The sequence below is a fragment of the Homo sapiens genome, chromosome 8 (assembly GCF_000001405.40).
Source record: "Homo sapiens chromosome 8, GRCh38.p14 Primary Assembly".
NCBI lineage: Eukaryota > Metazoa > Chordata > Mammalia > Primates > Hominidae > Homo > Homo sapiens.
In genome coordinates, this window is record NC_000008.11 from 1,336,866 (window position 1) to 1,354,940 (window position 18,075).

An 18,075-nucleotide genomic window follows, 5' to 3' on the forward strand; every position below is an offset into this window, starting at 1 on the left:
TAAAAGGTATTGATTCTGGAATCAGAAAAACATGCTTTTCACTAGCAAAATGACATTGAGCAATTCATATTTTCTAAGTACAAGTTATCCCACCCTAAAATGAAGATATTATTGACCATATGGGAGTGAGGAGCAGAGGCAATGAGTCTCTAGAATAGTCATTGGTGATCAGTACATAGTAACCAGTAATGACAGTGTGTGACATGATGAGAAGATAGAGAGGAGGAGGAGGTGAAGAAGAAATAGATAATGATGATGATGAGGATGATAATGGTGGTGAGAATGATGGTGATGATGGTGGTGATGATGATGATGGTGGTGGTGAGAATGATGGTGATGATGGTGATGATGATGAGGATGATGGTGGTGGTGAGAATGATGGTGATGATGGTGGTGATGATGAGGATGATGGTGGTGGTGGCGATGGTGATGATGAGGATGATGTGATGGTGAGAATGATGGTGATGATGGTAATAGTGAGGATGATGGGGGTGAGGATGACAGTGATGATGATGGTGATGGTGAGGATGATGGTGATGATGGTGATGGTGAGGATGATGGTGATGGTGATGATGATGATGGTGATGATGGTGAGAATGGTGAGGATGATGGGGATGGGGATGATAGTGGTGATGAGGATGATGATGGTGATGCTGATGATAGTGATGATGATGATGATGATCATAATGGTGGTGGTGATGAAGAGGAGGAGGAAGATGGCATGCTTGGGTTCCTCATTGATTCATGCATTAATTCATCCCCCCAAAAAATGGTTAGGCAGTGGTTTCTTAGATGTGACACCAAAAGCATAAGCAACACAAGGATAAAAACAGACAAACTTTATTGACATCTTTCGTGCTTCAAAAGACACAATCTAGAAAGTGAAAATACAACCGATAAAATGGTAGAAAATATCTGCAAATCAGTTATCTGAGAAGACTCTAGTGTCTGGGTTATATAAAGAATTCTTCCAATTCAGTGAAAAAGACCAGTCAAATTAAAAATGGGCAAAATACTTGAATAAACAGTTCTCCAAAGAAGGCCTGCAAATGTTCCACTAAGTACAGGGAAGCTCAACATCATGAGTCGTTACAAAAATTCAAATCAAAACCAAGATGAGATGCAATTGCATTCCCACTAGGACGGCTGTCACTGAAGAATGGACAATGACAAGTATTGCTGAGGACTGGAGAAACCAGGCCCTTCAGAGACAGCCCATGGGCACGTAAAATGGTGCAGCCATGTGGTTTAGTTAGGAAATTCCACACAAAGTTAAACAGACAGTTACCTTATGACCCAGTGTGTGTATTCCTAAGCATTCATCCCAGAGAAATGAAGACGTATGTCTACACAGAAACTCACACACAAGTGTCCACAGCAGCATTGCTTAGCCAGAAAATGGAAACAGCAGATGTTCCCCATTAGCCCATCTGCTGGCCAAGGGATAAAGTGCAGGCCACACGTATGATGGAGCCCACACCACATACAGATGCAAATATTATGTGAAATGAGAGAAGCCAGACTCAAGTCCACCTACTGCATGATTCTATTTATATGAAATGTCCAGGACAGGCAAATCTGTAGAGACAGAAACTAAATTGCCTGGGTCTGGGGGCAGGAAGGAAGGAGTAACTGCTGATTGATACAGAATATGTTTTGGGGTGATGCAAATCCTTTGAAATTACATAGCGGTGATTCTTGCACACCTTTGTGAATATATAAAACCACCAAGTTGTAAACCTTGAAAGAGTAAATTTTATATCTTAATTATGTCTTTATTTTAAAAATCTAAAACAAACCAAAAACTAAAGACACGATCTGTACAGTATCAGGAGCATACGGTCCCATAATGGGGAGAGAGTGAGCCCAGGACACGTTGCAGGATGAGGTACGCACCCTGTGGAGACTGAACGGGAAGTACCATGGTGTCAGGACCTGGGAGAGAATGCAGTGACCTAAGGGAAGTGTCAGGACCTGGCAGGGAATGCAGTGACTTCAGTGAGGCGTCAGGACCTGGCAGGGAATGCAGTGACCTCAGTGAGGCGTCAGGACCTGGCAGGGAATGCAATGACCTCAGTGAGGCGTCAGGACCTGGCAGGGAATGCAGTGACCTCAGTGAGGCGTCAGGACCTGGCAGGGAATGCAGTGACCTAAGGGAAGTGTCAGGACCTGGCAGGGAATGCAGTGACCTCAGTGAGGCATCAGGACCTGGCAGGGAAGGCAGTGACCTCAGCGTGGCGTCAGGACCCGGGAGGGAATGCAGTGACCTCAGTGAGGCATCAGGACCCGGGAGGGAAGGCAGTGACCTCAGCGAGGCGTCAGGACGTGTGAGGGAAGGCAGTGACCTCAGTGAGGCGTCAGGACCCGGGAGGGAATGCAGTGACCTCAGCGAGGCGTCAGGACCCGGGAGGGAATGCAGTGACCTCAGTGAGGCATCAGGACCCGGGAGGGAATGCAGTGACCTCAGTGAGGCATGAGGACCCGGGAGGGAATGCAGTGACTTCAGTAAGGCGTCAGGACCCTGGAGGGAATGCAGTGACCTCAGTGAGGCATCAGCAAGAAGGTGATTCCTGGGACAGCCTCGGGAGCCTGGAGCACACAGGGACCCTCCCTTGGTGAGCTCCATTCTGGAACCGCAGCACTGTCCCCTGACACCCCCAGTGGGAACAAGCTTCCGTGTCACGTAAGTAGTCTTCAGTATTTCTCAGTGTATTATTTTTTTCCATGTTTTCTGATGTAGAATCTGTAACAGGAGCTTCACATGGGTTATCTCATGTAATCCTGTGCATTCTTTTGGCCATTGTGACCTTCGTTTAATAGGGGGATCCGGAGTCTCAGAGGCGAAGTCTCACCCGGGCGCATCAGGGCAGAGGAGCCACCTGCCCTGCGCTGTGTGTTCCTAGATCCAGATACTCCAAATAGCATGGAAGGCGATGGCTCAGCACTGCTGGAAGGAATTCTCTAGGAGAAGCTCTGATAATAGATAAAAGGTGGAACTTATTTTTTTATCTCTGGGATCCTGTGATTCAAAGACAAAATATGTGTATATTGACAGGAAGCTGTGCAAACAGCTAGTATCGTGATCTTGCTTAAATGTACATGAGAAAATCATTCAAATACCTTATGTTTAGAAAGGGTTCCTTATTCAATCCATGGTACTGGGAGAACTGGCAGGACGTGTGCAGAAACTGGACCCCTTTCTTCCACCATATGCCAAAATTAATTCAAGATGCATTGAAGACTTTAAAACCCAAAACTATAAAAATCCCAGAAGAAAACCTAGGCAGTACCATTCTGGACATGGGAACTGGCAAAGATTTCATGACAGAGACACCAAAAGCAATGGCAACAAAAGCAAAAATTGACAAATGGGATTTAATTAAACTAAGGAGCTTCTGCACAACAAAAGAAACTAGCATCAGAGCAAACAGGCAACCTACAGAATGGGAGAAAATTTTTGCAAATTATGCATCCCACAAAGGTCTAATATCTGGCATCTATGAGGAATTTAAACACATTTGTAAGAAAAAAACCATTAAAAAGCGGACAAACAACAGGAACAGACACTTTTCAAAAGAAGACATATGTGCAGCCAGCAGTCGTTTGAAGAAAAGCTCAACATCACTGACCATTAAAGAAATGCAAATCAAAACCACCATGAGATGCCGTCTCACAGCAGTCAGAATGGCGGTTATTAAAAAGTGAAAACATAACAGATGCTGGTGAGGTTGTGGAGAGAAAGAAATGCTTACACACTGTTAGCTGGGAGTGTAAAGTAATTCAGCCACTGTGGAAGACAGTGTGGTGGTTCCTTGGAGACCTAAAGACAAACACCATTGGACTCAGCAATGCCATTAGTGGGTATAGACCCAAAGGAATAGAAACCCTTCTGTGACATGCACAGACACACATGCACATGTGTGTTCACTGCAGCACAGTTCACAATAGCAGAGACGTGGAATCAACCTAAATGCCATCAATGGTAGATTGGATAAAGAAAATGTGGTATATGTACACCATGGAATACTATGCAGACATAAAAAAGAATGAAATCATGTCTTTTGCAGGGATATGGATGGAGCTGGAGGCCATTATCCCTAGCAAACTAGTGCAGGAACAGATAACCAAATACTGCATGTTCTCACCTGTAAGTAGGAGCTAAATGATGAGAACTCACGGACACATAGAGGGGAACAACACACACTGGGACCTGTGGGAGGAGGAGGGTGGGAGGAGGGAGAGGATCAGGAAAGTAACTAATTGATAGTAGGCTTAATACTTGGGTGATGAAATAATCTGTACAACAAATCCCCATGACACAAGTTTACCTATGAAAGACACCTGCGCATGGACCCCTGAATGTAAAATCAAAGTTAAAAAATGAGATACATATCAAATAAGTTTTCAAATATTCTCCTTTTGTTTGAAAAATAAGCGTGTTTCATATCCCCCAGCATTTTTCAACAGAGACGTGCAGTCCTTTTGGCATACTTTCTTTTTGCAGTACATTTAATTTTATTAGATCTTACCCAGAAATTATTCATAGCCAAATTGTTATTGAACGTTAGCTTCATAAATCACTCCTCTCTGAAACACATATAGGCGTATTTAATGGAATACCCACATCAGCAGTTCTGCCTACAGTATGGGCTGGATGAGTTAGTTGAAGCCATGTCTCAAAAAAATCAGAGATGGGAAGGAGATGACTGTGGCTGACCCCGTACAAAAGTTAGTTCTGTGTCGTTTTCCCCATAATCTTTGCAGGTAAATATGAACTTGTGGGCTGTCTTGACCAGAGGGGCTCCTAGGGAAACAGAGATGAGCCCCTGACCCTCTGGTGTCTCCCATCACTGCCCGCCCTTTTGGGCACGTTAGCAGGGTGTGCTAGCAGGTGTCATTTCCCAGCTGCAGTAGGAATGCTGTCCGCAGGGTCCCTCCATCTGCAGGCCCTGGCACATTGCCTACAGAACATGGACCTGTAGCTTATGGGAGCTGAAATCAGTTCATGCACTGTGGGATTCTAGCCTGCGGGTGAAGCAATTGAGGTCTGAGGTTTTGTTTTGTTGTGTTTGTTTTGATTTGTTTTGCTTTGTTTTATTTTTTGAGACGGCATCTCTCTCTGTCACCCGGGCTGGAGTGCAATGGTGTGATCTCAGGTCACTGCAGCCTCGACCTTCTGGGCTGAGGTGATTCTCTCACCTCAGCTTCCCAGGTAGCTGGGGCAACAGGCAGGTGCCCCTACCCCCAGCTGATTTTTCTGTACAGATGGGGTTTTACCATGTTGCTTCCCCAGGCTGGTCTCAATACCTGGTCTCAAGCAATCGGCCCACCTCAGCCTCCCAAAGTGCTGGGATTACAGGTGTGAGCCACCGCACCTGGCCAGGTTGTGAGGTTTTAAGTGACTTGTTTCAGGCAGAGACTGGATTGCAAACCTCCCAACCTCACATATTATTTCCAGCAATTTAGTGCATTGCTGGGTCCCACAGATGATGCGTTTAATTTGTGATGTATGGCAGGTCTTCCGATTTTAAGTTACATGTAATACATTGTAGTGTACATAGTGTTGACCCACTCTGTTGTTATTGAATGGTACCGAGCACAGTTCAGCTAACTTTTTCTGTGAAGGGCCAAGTAGTTAATAGTTTGGGTTTGTGGGCCGTGCGGCTCAGTCGCATCTGCTGTACATTTGTGGTAGGGTAAGTTTCGATTCCTGACAGGTACAAGTGCCAAAGGCTGGCTGTGCACCGTGCTGGCATTTCAGCAAGTGCGTTATCACATGCGAATGCTGAATTTTCTGTTATTTCTCATCCCTAACTTTATATTCCTCTCTTAACATTAATTGAAAATGACTAAGCAGAACTTCAAAACGAAAATTAACAAGCTTGTGAAATGCGGTGTGTGTGTTGAAGTGCCGGAAAGACTCATGTGGTGCCTATTTGTCATTTCTCCTGTGATTTAGCGCTGTATTTCTAAGTTCCAAGTCACAATTCTTTCCCTTACCTTTTGCTTTCCTTCTAAACTGCTTTCTGCCGTCTTTGCCGTGAGACCAGGTGCCAGGCACCAGCTGTTTCTCTTTTTCCGTAATTGTAGCCTCTGGCACATGGTCGTGCATGGGTGCGGGGTGCTGGGAGCACAGAGATTATTGAGAAATCTGTTCTTGCCACATTAATTTCTGTACTTTTTGTTCATATTTTCACAAACCGGAGACACAAACACTGGCCAGTCCTTAGTAGATGGTGCTTAATTATTCACCAAGCGTGCAGAAGTCCCCAAGACCACCTGGAGGCTCAGGATATGCCAGAAGGACACAGAAAAGCAGTGTGCATGGTTATGGTCTAGCACAGCAAAAGGGCACCGATTAAGTCCGCCACGGTGAGAGGTGCGCAGGGCAGGGCTCAGGACAGACCAGGCCTGAGCCTCCAGGTGTCTCTCCCGTGGAGTCACACAGGCAGTGCTTAATGTCCCACCGGTGACATACATAGGACAAGACTCACAGACACGGCCAACCGGAGTTGCCCACGAGCCTGTGTCCTGGGGTTTTCTTGGGGTCCATCATGTAGGCTTGGGGTGCCCAAGTGACTGAGCCTAGATGCCTGGTCTCCAGCTCCCTCAGAGGGAAAACTGGCACCACATGGCCCAGGGCCCAGGTAAGCAAAGACTCTCTCAGGCTGGAAGCCCCAAAGGCCAACAGGTTACCCCAGAGGCGCTGGTCAAAACCAGAACTTTCTTGGAAATATTAACCCTTTACTGCATGCCAAGTAAATGCACGTCCTGTTTTTCCTTGATAAAAACAGGGAAATGGTTCCGCAGTCAGCTTTTGGAGCAGTTTGCATCTGGGGGGTCGTGGGGGGTGTTAGAGGCTCCGATGTGCACGACAGTGGAACGGAGGCCTCTCCAAGAGGCGGGGGCAGTGCTGTGGGCTTCACGCCTGCTGTGGCACGAGATCCTCCCTGCACGTCCACCCGTGACAGAGCAGATGATGCTCCAATTCCAGGGAGTAGGGGGAGCTCAGCCCTCTCACGCTTCTCACGGGTGCGAGCTCCCTGCCAGGTGAGGTATATCAGGGCTTTCCCTCCTGGCCGAGGGCAGGTGTACAGAGAAACATGGCGGACAGAGGAGACCTGCATTTACCAACGTCCTATTCACAGATGTTTCCGGTTCATTCACAGAATAAACAGGTCCTGTCTTTACAGTAATGGAGTAATGCCTGCAAATGTCGTACTCGGGGCCCTGTCGTGGGTCCATGTATTCGGGGCCCTGTCGTGGGTCCGTGTACTCGGGGCCCTGTCGTGGGTCTTTGTACTCGGGGCGCTGTCGTGGGTCCGTGTACTCGGGGCCCTGTCGTGGGGCCTGTGCCGTGTAGAATCTGTAGCTGCACACTTCGCCCAGTCTCCCCTCGAGCTACGTGCCCAGGCATTGTGGGTGGCTGGCGGGTCTGTGCAGACAACAGCCTTCAGGGTGCCACCTGCATTGCCCTCACACCTCGCACATGGCCGGGACACAGCTGTGAATCCTCCAGAGAGGTCTAGTGTCACTTTCTCTGAGCAGCTGCTCTCCAGATTAGGTGGCCATGTGGGTAAAAGTCGGGACTCAGACTCACCTGTTTGACATTAGTTACTGAAGCACTTTGTGCCTCAGTTTCCCTATCTGTAAAATCGGAATATTCACATTTTCTCCATAAGGATGTCACAGAGATTCTATGGAGTAATTCCTATGATAGACTAAGAGTGCATGTACCTCTGTGTTCAGGAAAACCCGGCACTGGTCTATCTGCTACATCCTAACGCTGGGCTCCACTCATTCTCCACTCAGTCTCCCGCGCTCCTCCGTAACCCCACACTGGTCTATCCGCTACATCTTAACGCTGTGCTCGGCTCCATTTTCTGCACTCCTCCTTGGGGATCACTGGTAACTGAGGCATCTGTGCAGGACTGGGCGTGTGTCTGACTCACAGCAGGTACAGAACACATGTTTGTTGAACTAATGAATGAGAGACTGGACTATGAAGGCTGGCCTCCCTCCTGGACCGAAATATTCCACTTCCGGTCAAAGGACAGGGTCTTGGTGAAGAGGACTCAACATCACCAGGCACTACCAGAGGGCTAGACCGCCAGTTAATCACTTTCAATAAAAGTCCTTCCAAATTTGATATTGGGACCATTCATCTTTCAGAGGAATCATTTGAAAGCTCAGTTATCTGGCCCTTTGCAAAGTTCATGACTCGGGAACAATTAGCTTAGCTGCTTATATAAATGACATAATTCGGTTTTGGTACAGTGTTGAGACCAAGGAAATTCATTAGGGCCCAGTACATTTTCTGTGAAGTAGAGTTCTGAGGAGCACTACTGTATCCTCTGCTGAAGGTGCAGGCTCAGTTCCTTCAGGGCAGAGTGTGCGGTCTGTTTCTCTGCTTAAGATGGAGGTTCAGTTCCTTCAGAGCAGAGTGTGCGGTTGTTCTGTTTCTCTTCGCCAAACACACTTGTTAGATTTCTTTCCTCTGCTGTTGAGAATAAGTACACTGCATGTAGTTTCCCCCATTTTGCCCGAGTTGCCAAATCTAAATAAACTACGTCTATGACAAAATAAACAAATGATTTCACTCTCTCTCCCTTTGTTGAAAATAGTTTTTGATATTACTTGGCATAAGTTTTTCTGTTGTACACATTTTAATCTGATAAGCCATCTTTATTGTCTTAAGAAAACACATTGTGTGGATGTAATTCCTTGGTTGTCATAGTCCTTCATGTGTGTTAACACGTCTGATCAGTGCACAGCAGCCCTGAGGGATGGGCAGGACAGGGAATGACCCCACTTCAGGAAAATGCACAGAGGGTGGTGAAGGGCTCATGCTTTGGAATCAGACAGATGTTGTTTCAAACACAAGTTATTGAAACTTTCTAGGCTTTTTTTCTTTGATCAGTGTAATGATGCTTGTAACACCTACCTCAGCATTGTTGTAAAATTAACTGAGCGTGCTTAGAGTGCACTGCTTGTCATTATCGCTAGTGGTTGCCCTATAGGAAGGAAGCAAACTCGGGGACGTGAAGTGACTCCAGGCAGGAAAGACACAAGGCAGCGCTTAACTTCCGAGCCCTTGAGCTGCCCATAGAAACAGGGTCCAGACTCTGGCACCAGCTCCTGTGTCCAGTGCAGATGGGACAGGCTCAATGCCCACGCCATGGGCACTGTGCTCATGGTGGCTGAGTGGAGGTTGAGTGCCCGGCAGAGCTGCATTTCCCTTATGGTGTCTGTGTGGAAGTCAAAAGCCCATACACGTCTGCACTGCTCTGATGGTAACTGTGTGGAGTTTGAGTTCCCATACAGAGCTGCATTGCACTCACGGTAGCTGTGTGGAGGTTGAGTTCCCCGTACACATCTGCATTGCTCTCATGGTAGCTGTGTGGATGTTGAGTTCCCATACACATCTGCATTGCTCTCATGGTAGCTGTGTGGAGGTTGCGTTCCCATACACATCTGCATTGCTCTCATGGCGGCTGTGTGGAGTTTGAGTTCCCATACAGAGCTGCATTGCACTCACGGTAGCTGTGTGGAGGTTGAGTTCCCTGTACACATCTGCATTGCTCTCATGGCAGCTATGTGGAGGTTGTGTTCCCATACACATCTGCATTGCTCTCATGATAGCTGTGTGGAGGTTGAGTTCCCATACAGAGCTGCATTGCACTCATGGTAGCTGTGTGGGTGTTGAGTTCCCATACACATCTGCATTGCTCTCATGGTAGCTGTGTGGAGGTTGAGTTCTGAAACAGAGCTGCATTGCACTCACGGTAGCTGTGTGGAGGTTGAGTTCCCATACAGAGCTGCTTTAAACTCATGGTAGCTGTGTGGAGGTTGAGTTCTCATACAGAGCTGAATTGCACTCACGGTAGCTGTGTGGAGGTTGAGTTCCTATACAGAACTGCTTTGAACTCATGGTAGATGTGTGGAGGTTGCGTTCCCATACAGAGCTGCATTGCACTCATGGTAGCTGTGTGGAGGTTGAGTTCCCATACAGAGCTGCGTTGCACTCACGGTAGCTGTGTGGAGGTTGAGTTCCCATACACGTCTGCATTGCTCTCATGGTAGCTCTGTGGAAGTTGAGTTCCCATACAGAGCTGCATTGCACTCATGGTAGCTGTGTGGAGGTTGAGTTACCATACAGAGCTGCACTGCTCTCATGGTAACTGTGCGGAGGATGAGTTCCACACAGAGCTGAATTGCACTCATTGTAGCTATGTGGAGTTTGAGTTCCCACACAGAGCTGCATTGCTCTCATGGCGGCTGTGTGGAGGTTGCGTTCCTGTACAGAGCTGCATTGCTCTCATGGCGGCTGTGTGGAGGTAGAGTTCCTACACAGAGCTGCATTGCTCTAATGGTGGCTGTGTGTAGGTTGAGTTCCCACATAGAGCTACACTGCACTCACGGTAGCTGTGTGGAGGTTGAGTTCCCCCACAGAGCTGCATTGCTCTCATGGTAGCTGGGTGGAGGTTGAGTTCCCATACACATCTGCATTGCTCTCATGGTAGCTGTGTGGAGGTTCAGTTCCCATACCCATCTGCATTGCACTCATGGCAACTATGTGGAAGTTGAGTTCCCATACAGAGCTGCATTGCTCTCATGGGGGCTGTGTGTAGGTTCATTTCCCACATAGAGCTACATTGCACTCATGGTAGCTGTGCGGAGGTTTTGTTCCTACACAGAGCTACATTGCTGTCTTGGTAACTGTGTGGAGGTTGAGTTCCCATACAGAGCTGCTTTGCACTCATGGTAGCTGTGTGGAGGTTGAGTTCCCACACAGAGCTGCGCTGCTCTCATGGTAACTGTCTGGAGGCTGAGTTCCTATACAGAGCTGCGTTGCACTCATGGTAGCTGTGTGAAGGTTGAGTTCCCATACACAGCTACATTGCACTCATGGTAACTGTGTGGAGGTTGAGTTCCTATACAGAGCTACATTGCACTCATGTTAGCTGTGTGGAGATTGAGTTCCCATACAGAGCTACATTGCACTCATGGTAGCTGTGTGGAGGTTGAGTTCCCATACAGAGCTACATTGCACTCATGGTAGCTGTGTGGAGATTGAGTTCCCATACAGAGCTACATTGCACTCATGGTAGCTGTGTGGAGGTTGAGTTCCCATACAGAGCTGCATTGCACTCATGGTAGCTGTGTGGAGGTTGAGTTCCCACACAGAGCTGCGCTGCTCTCATGGTAACTGTCTGGAGGCTGAGTTCCTATACAGAGCTACATTGCTCTCGTGTTAGCTGTGTGGAGGTTGAGTTCCCATACAGAGCTACAGTGCACTCATGGTAGCTGTGTAGAGGTTGAGTTTCCACATAGAGCTGCATTGCACTCATGGTAGCTGTTTGGAGATTGAGTTCCTACACAGAGCTACATTGCACTCATGGTGGCTGTGTGGAGGTTGAGTTTCCACATAGAGCTGCATTGCACTCATGGTAGCTGTGTGGAGATTGAGTTCCTACACAGAGCTACATTGCACTCATGGTAGCTGTGTGGAGGTTGAGTTCCCACACAGAGCTGCGCTGCTCTCATGGTAACTGTCTGGAGGCTGAGTTCCTATACAGAGTTACATTGCTCTCATGGTAACTGTGTGGAGGTTGAGTTCCCATACAGAGCTACATTGCACTCATGATAGCTGTTTGGAGATTGAGTTCCCACATAGAGCTGCATTGCACTCGTGGTAGCTATGTGGAGGTTGAGTTCCCATTAACATCTGCATTGCACTCATGGTAGCTGTGTGGAGGTTGAGTTCCCACACAGAGCTGCATTGCTCTCATGGTGGCTGTGTGGAGGTTGAGTGCCCAGCAGAGCTGCATTGCTCTCATGGCCGCTGTGCGGAGGTTGAGTGCCCATGCTCTGCTGTCTTACACTCATGATGGCTTTGCAAAGGAGCCAACCCATTGTGTATGCGGTGGAGCGTGTTGATGGATTCAGCACCAGCCAGTATCAGTCCCCACCTCACGTTGGCTGCTTCCCCATCCATGTCCTGCTTGTGCCTTTGGAATCTTGTGGCATCATCTCAGGTTTGGATTTTGGATGTGACCTGGATTATATTGAAGAATGGTCACCATGGTCTGTCGCCTTCCTTAGAGATATTTTTAAATATTCTTAGCATTCATTTATCTTTCTGGAACTCATGGTGAGATAAATTAGCTGCAGGGTGGAGATGCGGCCACTTGCTCCTGCCAAGTCACCTCAGCAGTGTGCTGCTCAGAGAGTGCTGCCGTTTTTAAGGGGCCAGCAAGCCCATCAGGTCTCTTTCCCTTCCCGTTCACCTAAACAGACACAGCTTTACAAAACACAGCTGTGTCGTACGCTCACATTAAATATTAAAATGTGGTATTAATGTAGTTGAGATACTTAAACTAGGTGTTTGAGGGGGCACTATCACGAGCCTCCCGCCGACATCCACACATGTCATGAGCCTCCCGCCCACATCCACACACAGGTAGGAAGGGGTGTTTGAGGGAGACTATCGTGAGCCTCGTGCCCACATCCACGCATGTCATGAGCCTGCCGCCCACATCCACACACAGGTAGGAAGGGGGTTTGAGGGGAACTATCGTCAGCCTCCTGCCCACATCCACTCATGTCATGAGCCTCCCGCCCACATCCACACACAGGTAGAAAGGGGTGTTTGAGGGGGACTGTCGTGAGCCTCCCGCCCACATCCACACACAGATAGGAAGGGGTGTTTGAGGGAGACTATCATGAGCCTCCTGCCCACATCCACGCATGTCATGAGCCTCCCGCCCACATCCACACACAGGTAGGAAGGGGTGTTTGAGGGAGACTATCATGAGCCTCCTGCCCACATCCACGCATGTCATGAGCCTCCCGCCCACATCCACACACAGGTAGGAAGAGGAAGGATGGTGTCTTTCCCCATTAGACCACTGGTGACTTTACAGAGAAGTGCAAACTCATCAGACACCTTGAATTGCTCTAACAACTTTTGTTGCTATATAATAAATTCTGTACCTCAGTTACATTGTATAGACTGTTTATCTTTGTTTAATATTGAAAACAAACACATTTGCCTATATCTCTAGGCAGATTCTTACAAATATGCTGTACTTTACAGAGGCTCTATTTTTTTTCAGCAACCAAAACAACACATATAACCTTACAACTAATATAAAGGGGAGCAAATTGATGACTTTAATATAGAAACCGTTTCGATATTAAACCATTTATAAGGTGCCAATAATTTATTCATATTTGTAAAATCAGCTGGTTATTAAACTGCAGGAAGAAATAAAAACATCCCCGACTACTTCATGCTCTTGTGGCGTGGAAAGGCCGCGCGGGTCCTGAGTGTGCGTGGAAAGGCCGTGCGGGTCCTGAGTGTGCGTGGAAAGGCCGTGCGGGTCCTGAGCATGTGTGGAACGGCCGTGCGGGTCCTGAGCGTGCGTGGAAAGGCCGTGCGGGTCCTGAGCGTGCGTGGAAAGGCCGTGCGGGTCCTGACAGTGTGTGGAAAGGCCGCGTGGGTCCTGACTGTGCGTGGAAAGGCCGCGCGGGTCCTGACTGTGCGTGGAAAGGCCGCGCGGGTCCTGAGTGTGCGTGGAAAGGCCGTGCGGGTCCTGACTGTGCGTGGAAAGGCCGCGCGGGTCCTGACTGTGCGTGGAAAGGCCGTGCGGGTCCTGACAGTGCGTGGAAAGGCCGTGCGGGTCCTGAGTGTGCGTGGAAAGGCCGCGCGGGTCCTGACTGTGCGTGGAAAGGCCGCGCGGGTCCTGACTGTGCGTGGAAAGGCCGTGCGGGTCCTGACTGTGCGTGGAAAGGCCGTGCGGGTCCTGAGTGTGCGTGGAAAGGCCGTGCGGGTCCTGAGTGTGCGTGGAAAGGCCGTGCGGGTCCTGAGTGTGTGTGGAAAGGCCGCGCGGGTCCTGAGCGTGCGTGGAAAGGCCGTGCGGGTCCTGAGTGTGCGTGGAAAGGCCATGCGGGTCCTGAGTGTGCGTGGAAAGGCCGTGCGGGTCCTGACAGTGTGTGGAAAGGCCGCGCGGGTCCTGACTGTGCGTGGAAAGGCCGTGCGGGTCCTGACTGTGTGTGGAAAGGCCGTGCGGGTCCTGAGTGTGTGTGGAAAGGCCGTGCGGGTCCTGAGTGTGCGTGGAAAGGCCGTGCGGGTCCTGACTGTGTGTGGAACGGCCGTGCGGGTCCTGACTGTGTGTGGAAAGGCCGTGCAGATCCTGAGTGTGTGTGGAAACACCGTGCGGGTCCTGACTGTGTGTGGAAAGGCCGTGCAGATCCTGAGTGTGTGTGGAAACACCGTGCGGGTCCTGACTGTGTGTGGAAAGGCCGTGCAGATCCTGAGTGTGTGTGGAAACACCGTGCGGGTCCTGACTGTGTGTGGAAAGGCCGTGCGGGTCCTGACTGTGTGTGGAACGGCCGTGCGGGTCCTGACTGTGTGTGGAAAGGCCGTGCGGGTCCTGAGTGTGTGTGGAAAGGCCGTGCGGGTCCTGAGTGTGGAACGGCCGTGCGGGTCCTGACTGTGTGTGGAAAGGCCGTGCGGGTCCTGAGTGTGTGTGGATAGGCTGTGCGGGTCCTGACTGTGTGTGGAAAGGCCGTGTGGGTCCTGACTGTGTGTGGAAAGGCCGTGCGGGTCCTGAGTGTGTGTGGATAGGCTGTGCGGGTCCTGACTGTGTGTGGAAAGGCCGTGTGGGTCCTGACTGTGTGTGGAAAGGACGTGCGGGTCCTGACTGTGTGTGGAAAGGACGTGCGCGTCCTGCGTGTGGCGTGGAAAGGCCGTGCGGGTCCTGAGTGTGCGTGGAAAGGCCGTGCGGGTCCTGACTGTGTGTGGAACGGCCGTGTGGGTCCTGACTGTGCGTGGAAAGGCCATGCGGGTCCTGAGTGTGTGTGGAAAGGCCGTGCGGGTCCTGACTATGTGTGGAAAGGCCGTGCGGGTCCTGACTGTGTGTGGAAAGGACGTGCGCGTCCTGCGTGTGGCGTGGAAAGGCCATGCGGGTCCTGAGTGTGCGTGGAAAGGCCGTGCAGGTCCTGACTGTGTTTGGAAAGGCCGTGCGGGTCCTGACTGTGGAAAGGCCGTGCGCGTCCTGACTGTGTGTGGAAAGGCCGTGCGGGTCCTGAGTGTGTGTGGAAACGCCGTGCGGGTCCTGACTGTGTGTGGAAAGGCCGTGCGGATCCTGACTGTGTGTGGAAAGGCCGTGCGGGTCCTGAGTGTGTGTGGAACGGCCGTGCGGGTCCTGACTGTGTGTGGAAAGGCCGTGCGGGTCCTGAGTGTGTGTGGAACGGCCGTGCGGGTCCTGACTGTGTGTGGAAAGGCCGTGCGGGTCCTGAGTGTGTGTGGATAGGCTGTGCGGGTCCTGACTGTGTGTGGAAAGGCCGTGCGGGTCCTGACTGTGTTTGGAAAGGCCGTGTGGGTCCTGATCGTGTGTGGAAAGGACGTGCGGGTCCTGAGCGTGTGTGTGGAAAGGCCGTGCGGGTCCTGAGTGTGTGTGGAAAGGCTGTGCTCCTCCTGTCCCCAGCGACTCCCCCTGGGGCTTCCTCATGGGGCCATCTCTTCCTCTCCCCAGCGACTCTCCCTGTACCTGCCCTTCCCTCCCCTTCCTGGGGTCACCGCTGGGTCTCAGCTCTTATCACTTCCTAAAAACTCTTCCCACCCCAGACAGACGTCTTAAGTGCCACCATGACATTAATATTCTTAGAGTGTTTATTATAATATCATTTTAATTCATCCAAGTTTGTAATAATTAGTAAGTATGTCAATTCCTGGAAGTTGGCCCATTTCTCTGAATAAGCTTTGAGGTAAAGACTCGAACCCTGACTGGGGCGTGGCTGGCCTTGTCCACGTTCCTTCTTTACATGACTTCTCTGCCCTGAGTTTTACAGCTCGCTGTGCCCTGCAAATGCATTTCTCCTGCCTTTCTGAGGTTGGTACTTTTCCAGCCTTGGATGCCACTCCCCAGCCCCTACCCAAGGTCTGCTCATCCCATAGTAAGTCATTCTCTGGAGACGCAGGAGATCCTGGAGGAAGGAGAGAGAAGGGCTGAGAGAGCCTGAGAATGGGGCCTCCGGTCTTCCAGCTCAGCCTGCCATTGGGGTGCTCTTTGACTGTTCCAGAGCTCTGAGTCCATACCCATGTGTAGACAGGATTGAAGGCAGATTTTGACTCAGCCGAAGGGAGAACCTGCTAGGATTCAGCAATGTCCTGAACTGGCATGAGCTGCCTTGAACAGCAAGAAACGACGAAGGACCCCCCCGAGGTCAGTGATCTGGAGGAGTTTGCAAATCCCTAAGGGTGTCCATTTGCTTCCCACACCCACGTGTGCTGTTGATTTTCAGAGGCAGGTAAGGATGTCCTGCATTAGCTTCCTTCCATCTCAGCTCCCAGCACAGGGCTGTGTGTGCACAGGAGGCTTTCTCTAGACACATGTGAACAGAGGGACAGACGGTCCTGGCTCACAGCAGTGCGATAAGATTGTTTTACTTTATGATGCTGTGAAAGTAATGCACATTCATTAGAAACTGTACTTCGAGTTCCGCACAACCCTTCTGATTTTTGCTTTCAGTACCATGGTCAATGAATTATGTAAGGTATTCACTTTATGATGAAATAGGCTTTGTGCCGGATGATCTTGCCCCGCTGCAGGCTCATCTAAGTGTTCTGAGCACGTTTAAGGTTGGCCAGGCTAAGCTATAATGTTTGGTAGCTTAGCTGTATTAAATGCATTTTTGACTTACAATGCTTTCCATTTAAGATGGTTTGTCAGGACATAACCCCATTATAAGGTGAGGGGTATTTGTACTATGATAAAAATAGAGGCAAATCTTAGATTAGCAAGCTTTTAGAAGCATGAAAATGAATTAGGAATAGTAAGAAAAATAATTTACTTAACGTAAGATTCAAATTTCTATAGGTCAAAGAACCTTGTAAACAAAATTAGAAGGCAAAAACACGACAGGAAAAATATTTGCAATACATTGACACAAAATTTTTAATACGGGAAAAATATCTCAAATCAATATGAAAAATGCAGGTTAATATCCCTAGAGGGGAAAAAAATCAGCGAAGGGGAAAAAAGCAGTTATTTAGCCCAAGAAAAATTTCCAGCGTCACTAGCTATGAAGTAAGTGGACGTTTTTTTAAAAACCTAGTGCTTCTTCTATTTATGATGGAGTGGCAGTGGCCAGTGCTGTTTATAGAAGGATGAATAGGTGCAGGCTTCAGGGGGGCAATGTTGTATCAGAAGCCTTAAAAATATTCATTAACTTCACCCAGAAATTGTAATTCTGGAAATTTACCTTAAAGGATATTCTCTCAGCATGAACCGTTAAAAACAACCTGCTCACCAGTGGGATGTAATTTAAGAAAAAGAAAATACTTACGGAGGCCAGGCACGGTGGCTCAAACCTGTAATCCCAGCACTTTGGGAGGCCAAGACGGGTGGATTGCCTGAGGCCAGGAGTTTGAGACCAGCCTGGGCAACATGGCAAAACCCCATCTCTTCTAAAAATACAAAAAATACAAAGTATCTGGGTGTGGTGGTGCGTGCTTGTAGTCCCAGCTACTCGGGAGACTGAGGCACCAGAATCACTTGAACTCGGGAGGCACAGGTTACAGTGAGCTGATATTGAGCCGCTGCACTCCAGCCTGAGCAACAGAGCGAGACACTGTCTCAGAAAAAAAGAAAGAACGAAAAGAAAATACCTTGGAATGAAAGACTGTGGGGCCATTAAGATGATGCTGTGGGTGAAGGTGGAAAGTCACGGATGATGCTGCGGATGAAGGTGGAAAGTCACGGATGATGCTGCGGATGAAGGTGGAAAGTCACGGATGATGCTGCGGATGAAGGTGGAAAGTCACGGATGATGCTGCGGATGAAGGTGGAAAGTCACGGATGATGCTGCGGATGAAGGTGGAAAGTCACGGATGATGCTGCGGATGAAGGTGGAAAGTCACGGATGATGCTGCGGATGAAGGTGGAAAGTCACGGATGATGCTGCGGATGAAGGTGGAAAGTCACGGATGATGCTGCGGATGAAGGTGGAAAGTCACGGATGATGCTGCGGATGAGGGTGGAAAGTCACGGATGATGCTGCGGATGA

At 49.3% G+C, this 18,075-nt stretch overlaps 1 protein-coding gene and 1 long non-coding RNA gene across 2 annotated transcripts in view, besides 2 other annotated features; both read left to right on the forward strand.

Annotated features, from left to right (window-relative positions):
* Positions 1 to 18,075, forward strand: part of DLGAP2 (DLG associated protein 2) — a 970,849-nt gene that overhangs the window by 599,238 nt on the left and 353,536 nt on the right. The gene's annotated exons all lie outside the window — the stretch shown is intronic.
* LOC124901869 (uncharacterized) overlaps positions 1 to 18,075 on the forward strand; it is a 36,226-nt gene that overhangs the window by 15,436 nt on the left and 2,715 nt on the right. The gene's annotated exons all lie outside the window — the stretch shown is intronic.
* Positions 13,330 to 13,857: an enhancer, noted in NCBI's record as "H3K27ac-H3K4me1 hESC enhancer chr8:1298361-1298888 (GRCh37/hg19 assembly coordinates)". NCBI's record gives its function as "activates a minimal SCP1, AML or CMV promoter by ChIP-STARR-seq in naive H9 embryonic stem cells {active_cell/tissue: H9 hESC(naive)}" and the evidence as "EXISTENCE:reporter gene assay evidence [ECO:0000049][PMID:30033119]".
* Positions 13,858 to 14,385: an enhancer, noted in NCBI's record as "H3K27ac-H3K4me1 hESC enhancer chr8:1298889-1299416 (GRCh37/hg19 assembly coordinates)". NCBI's record gives its function as "activates a minimal SCP1, AML or CMV promoter by ChIP-STARR-seq in primed H9 embryonic stem cells {active_cell/tissue: H9 hESC(primed)}" and the evidence as "EXISTENCE:reporter gene assay evidence [ECO:0000049][PMID:30033119]".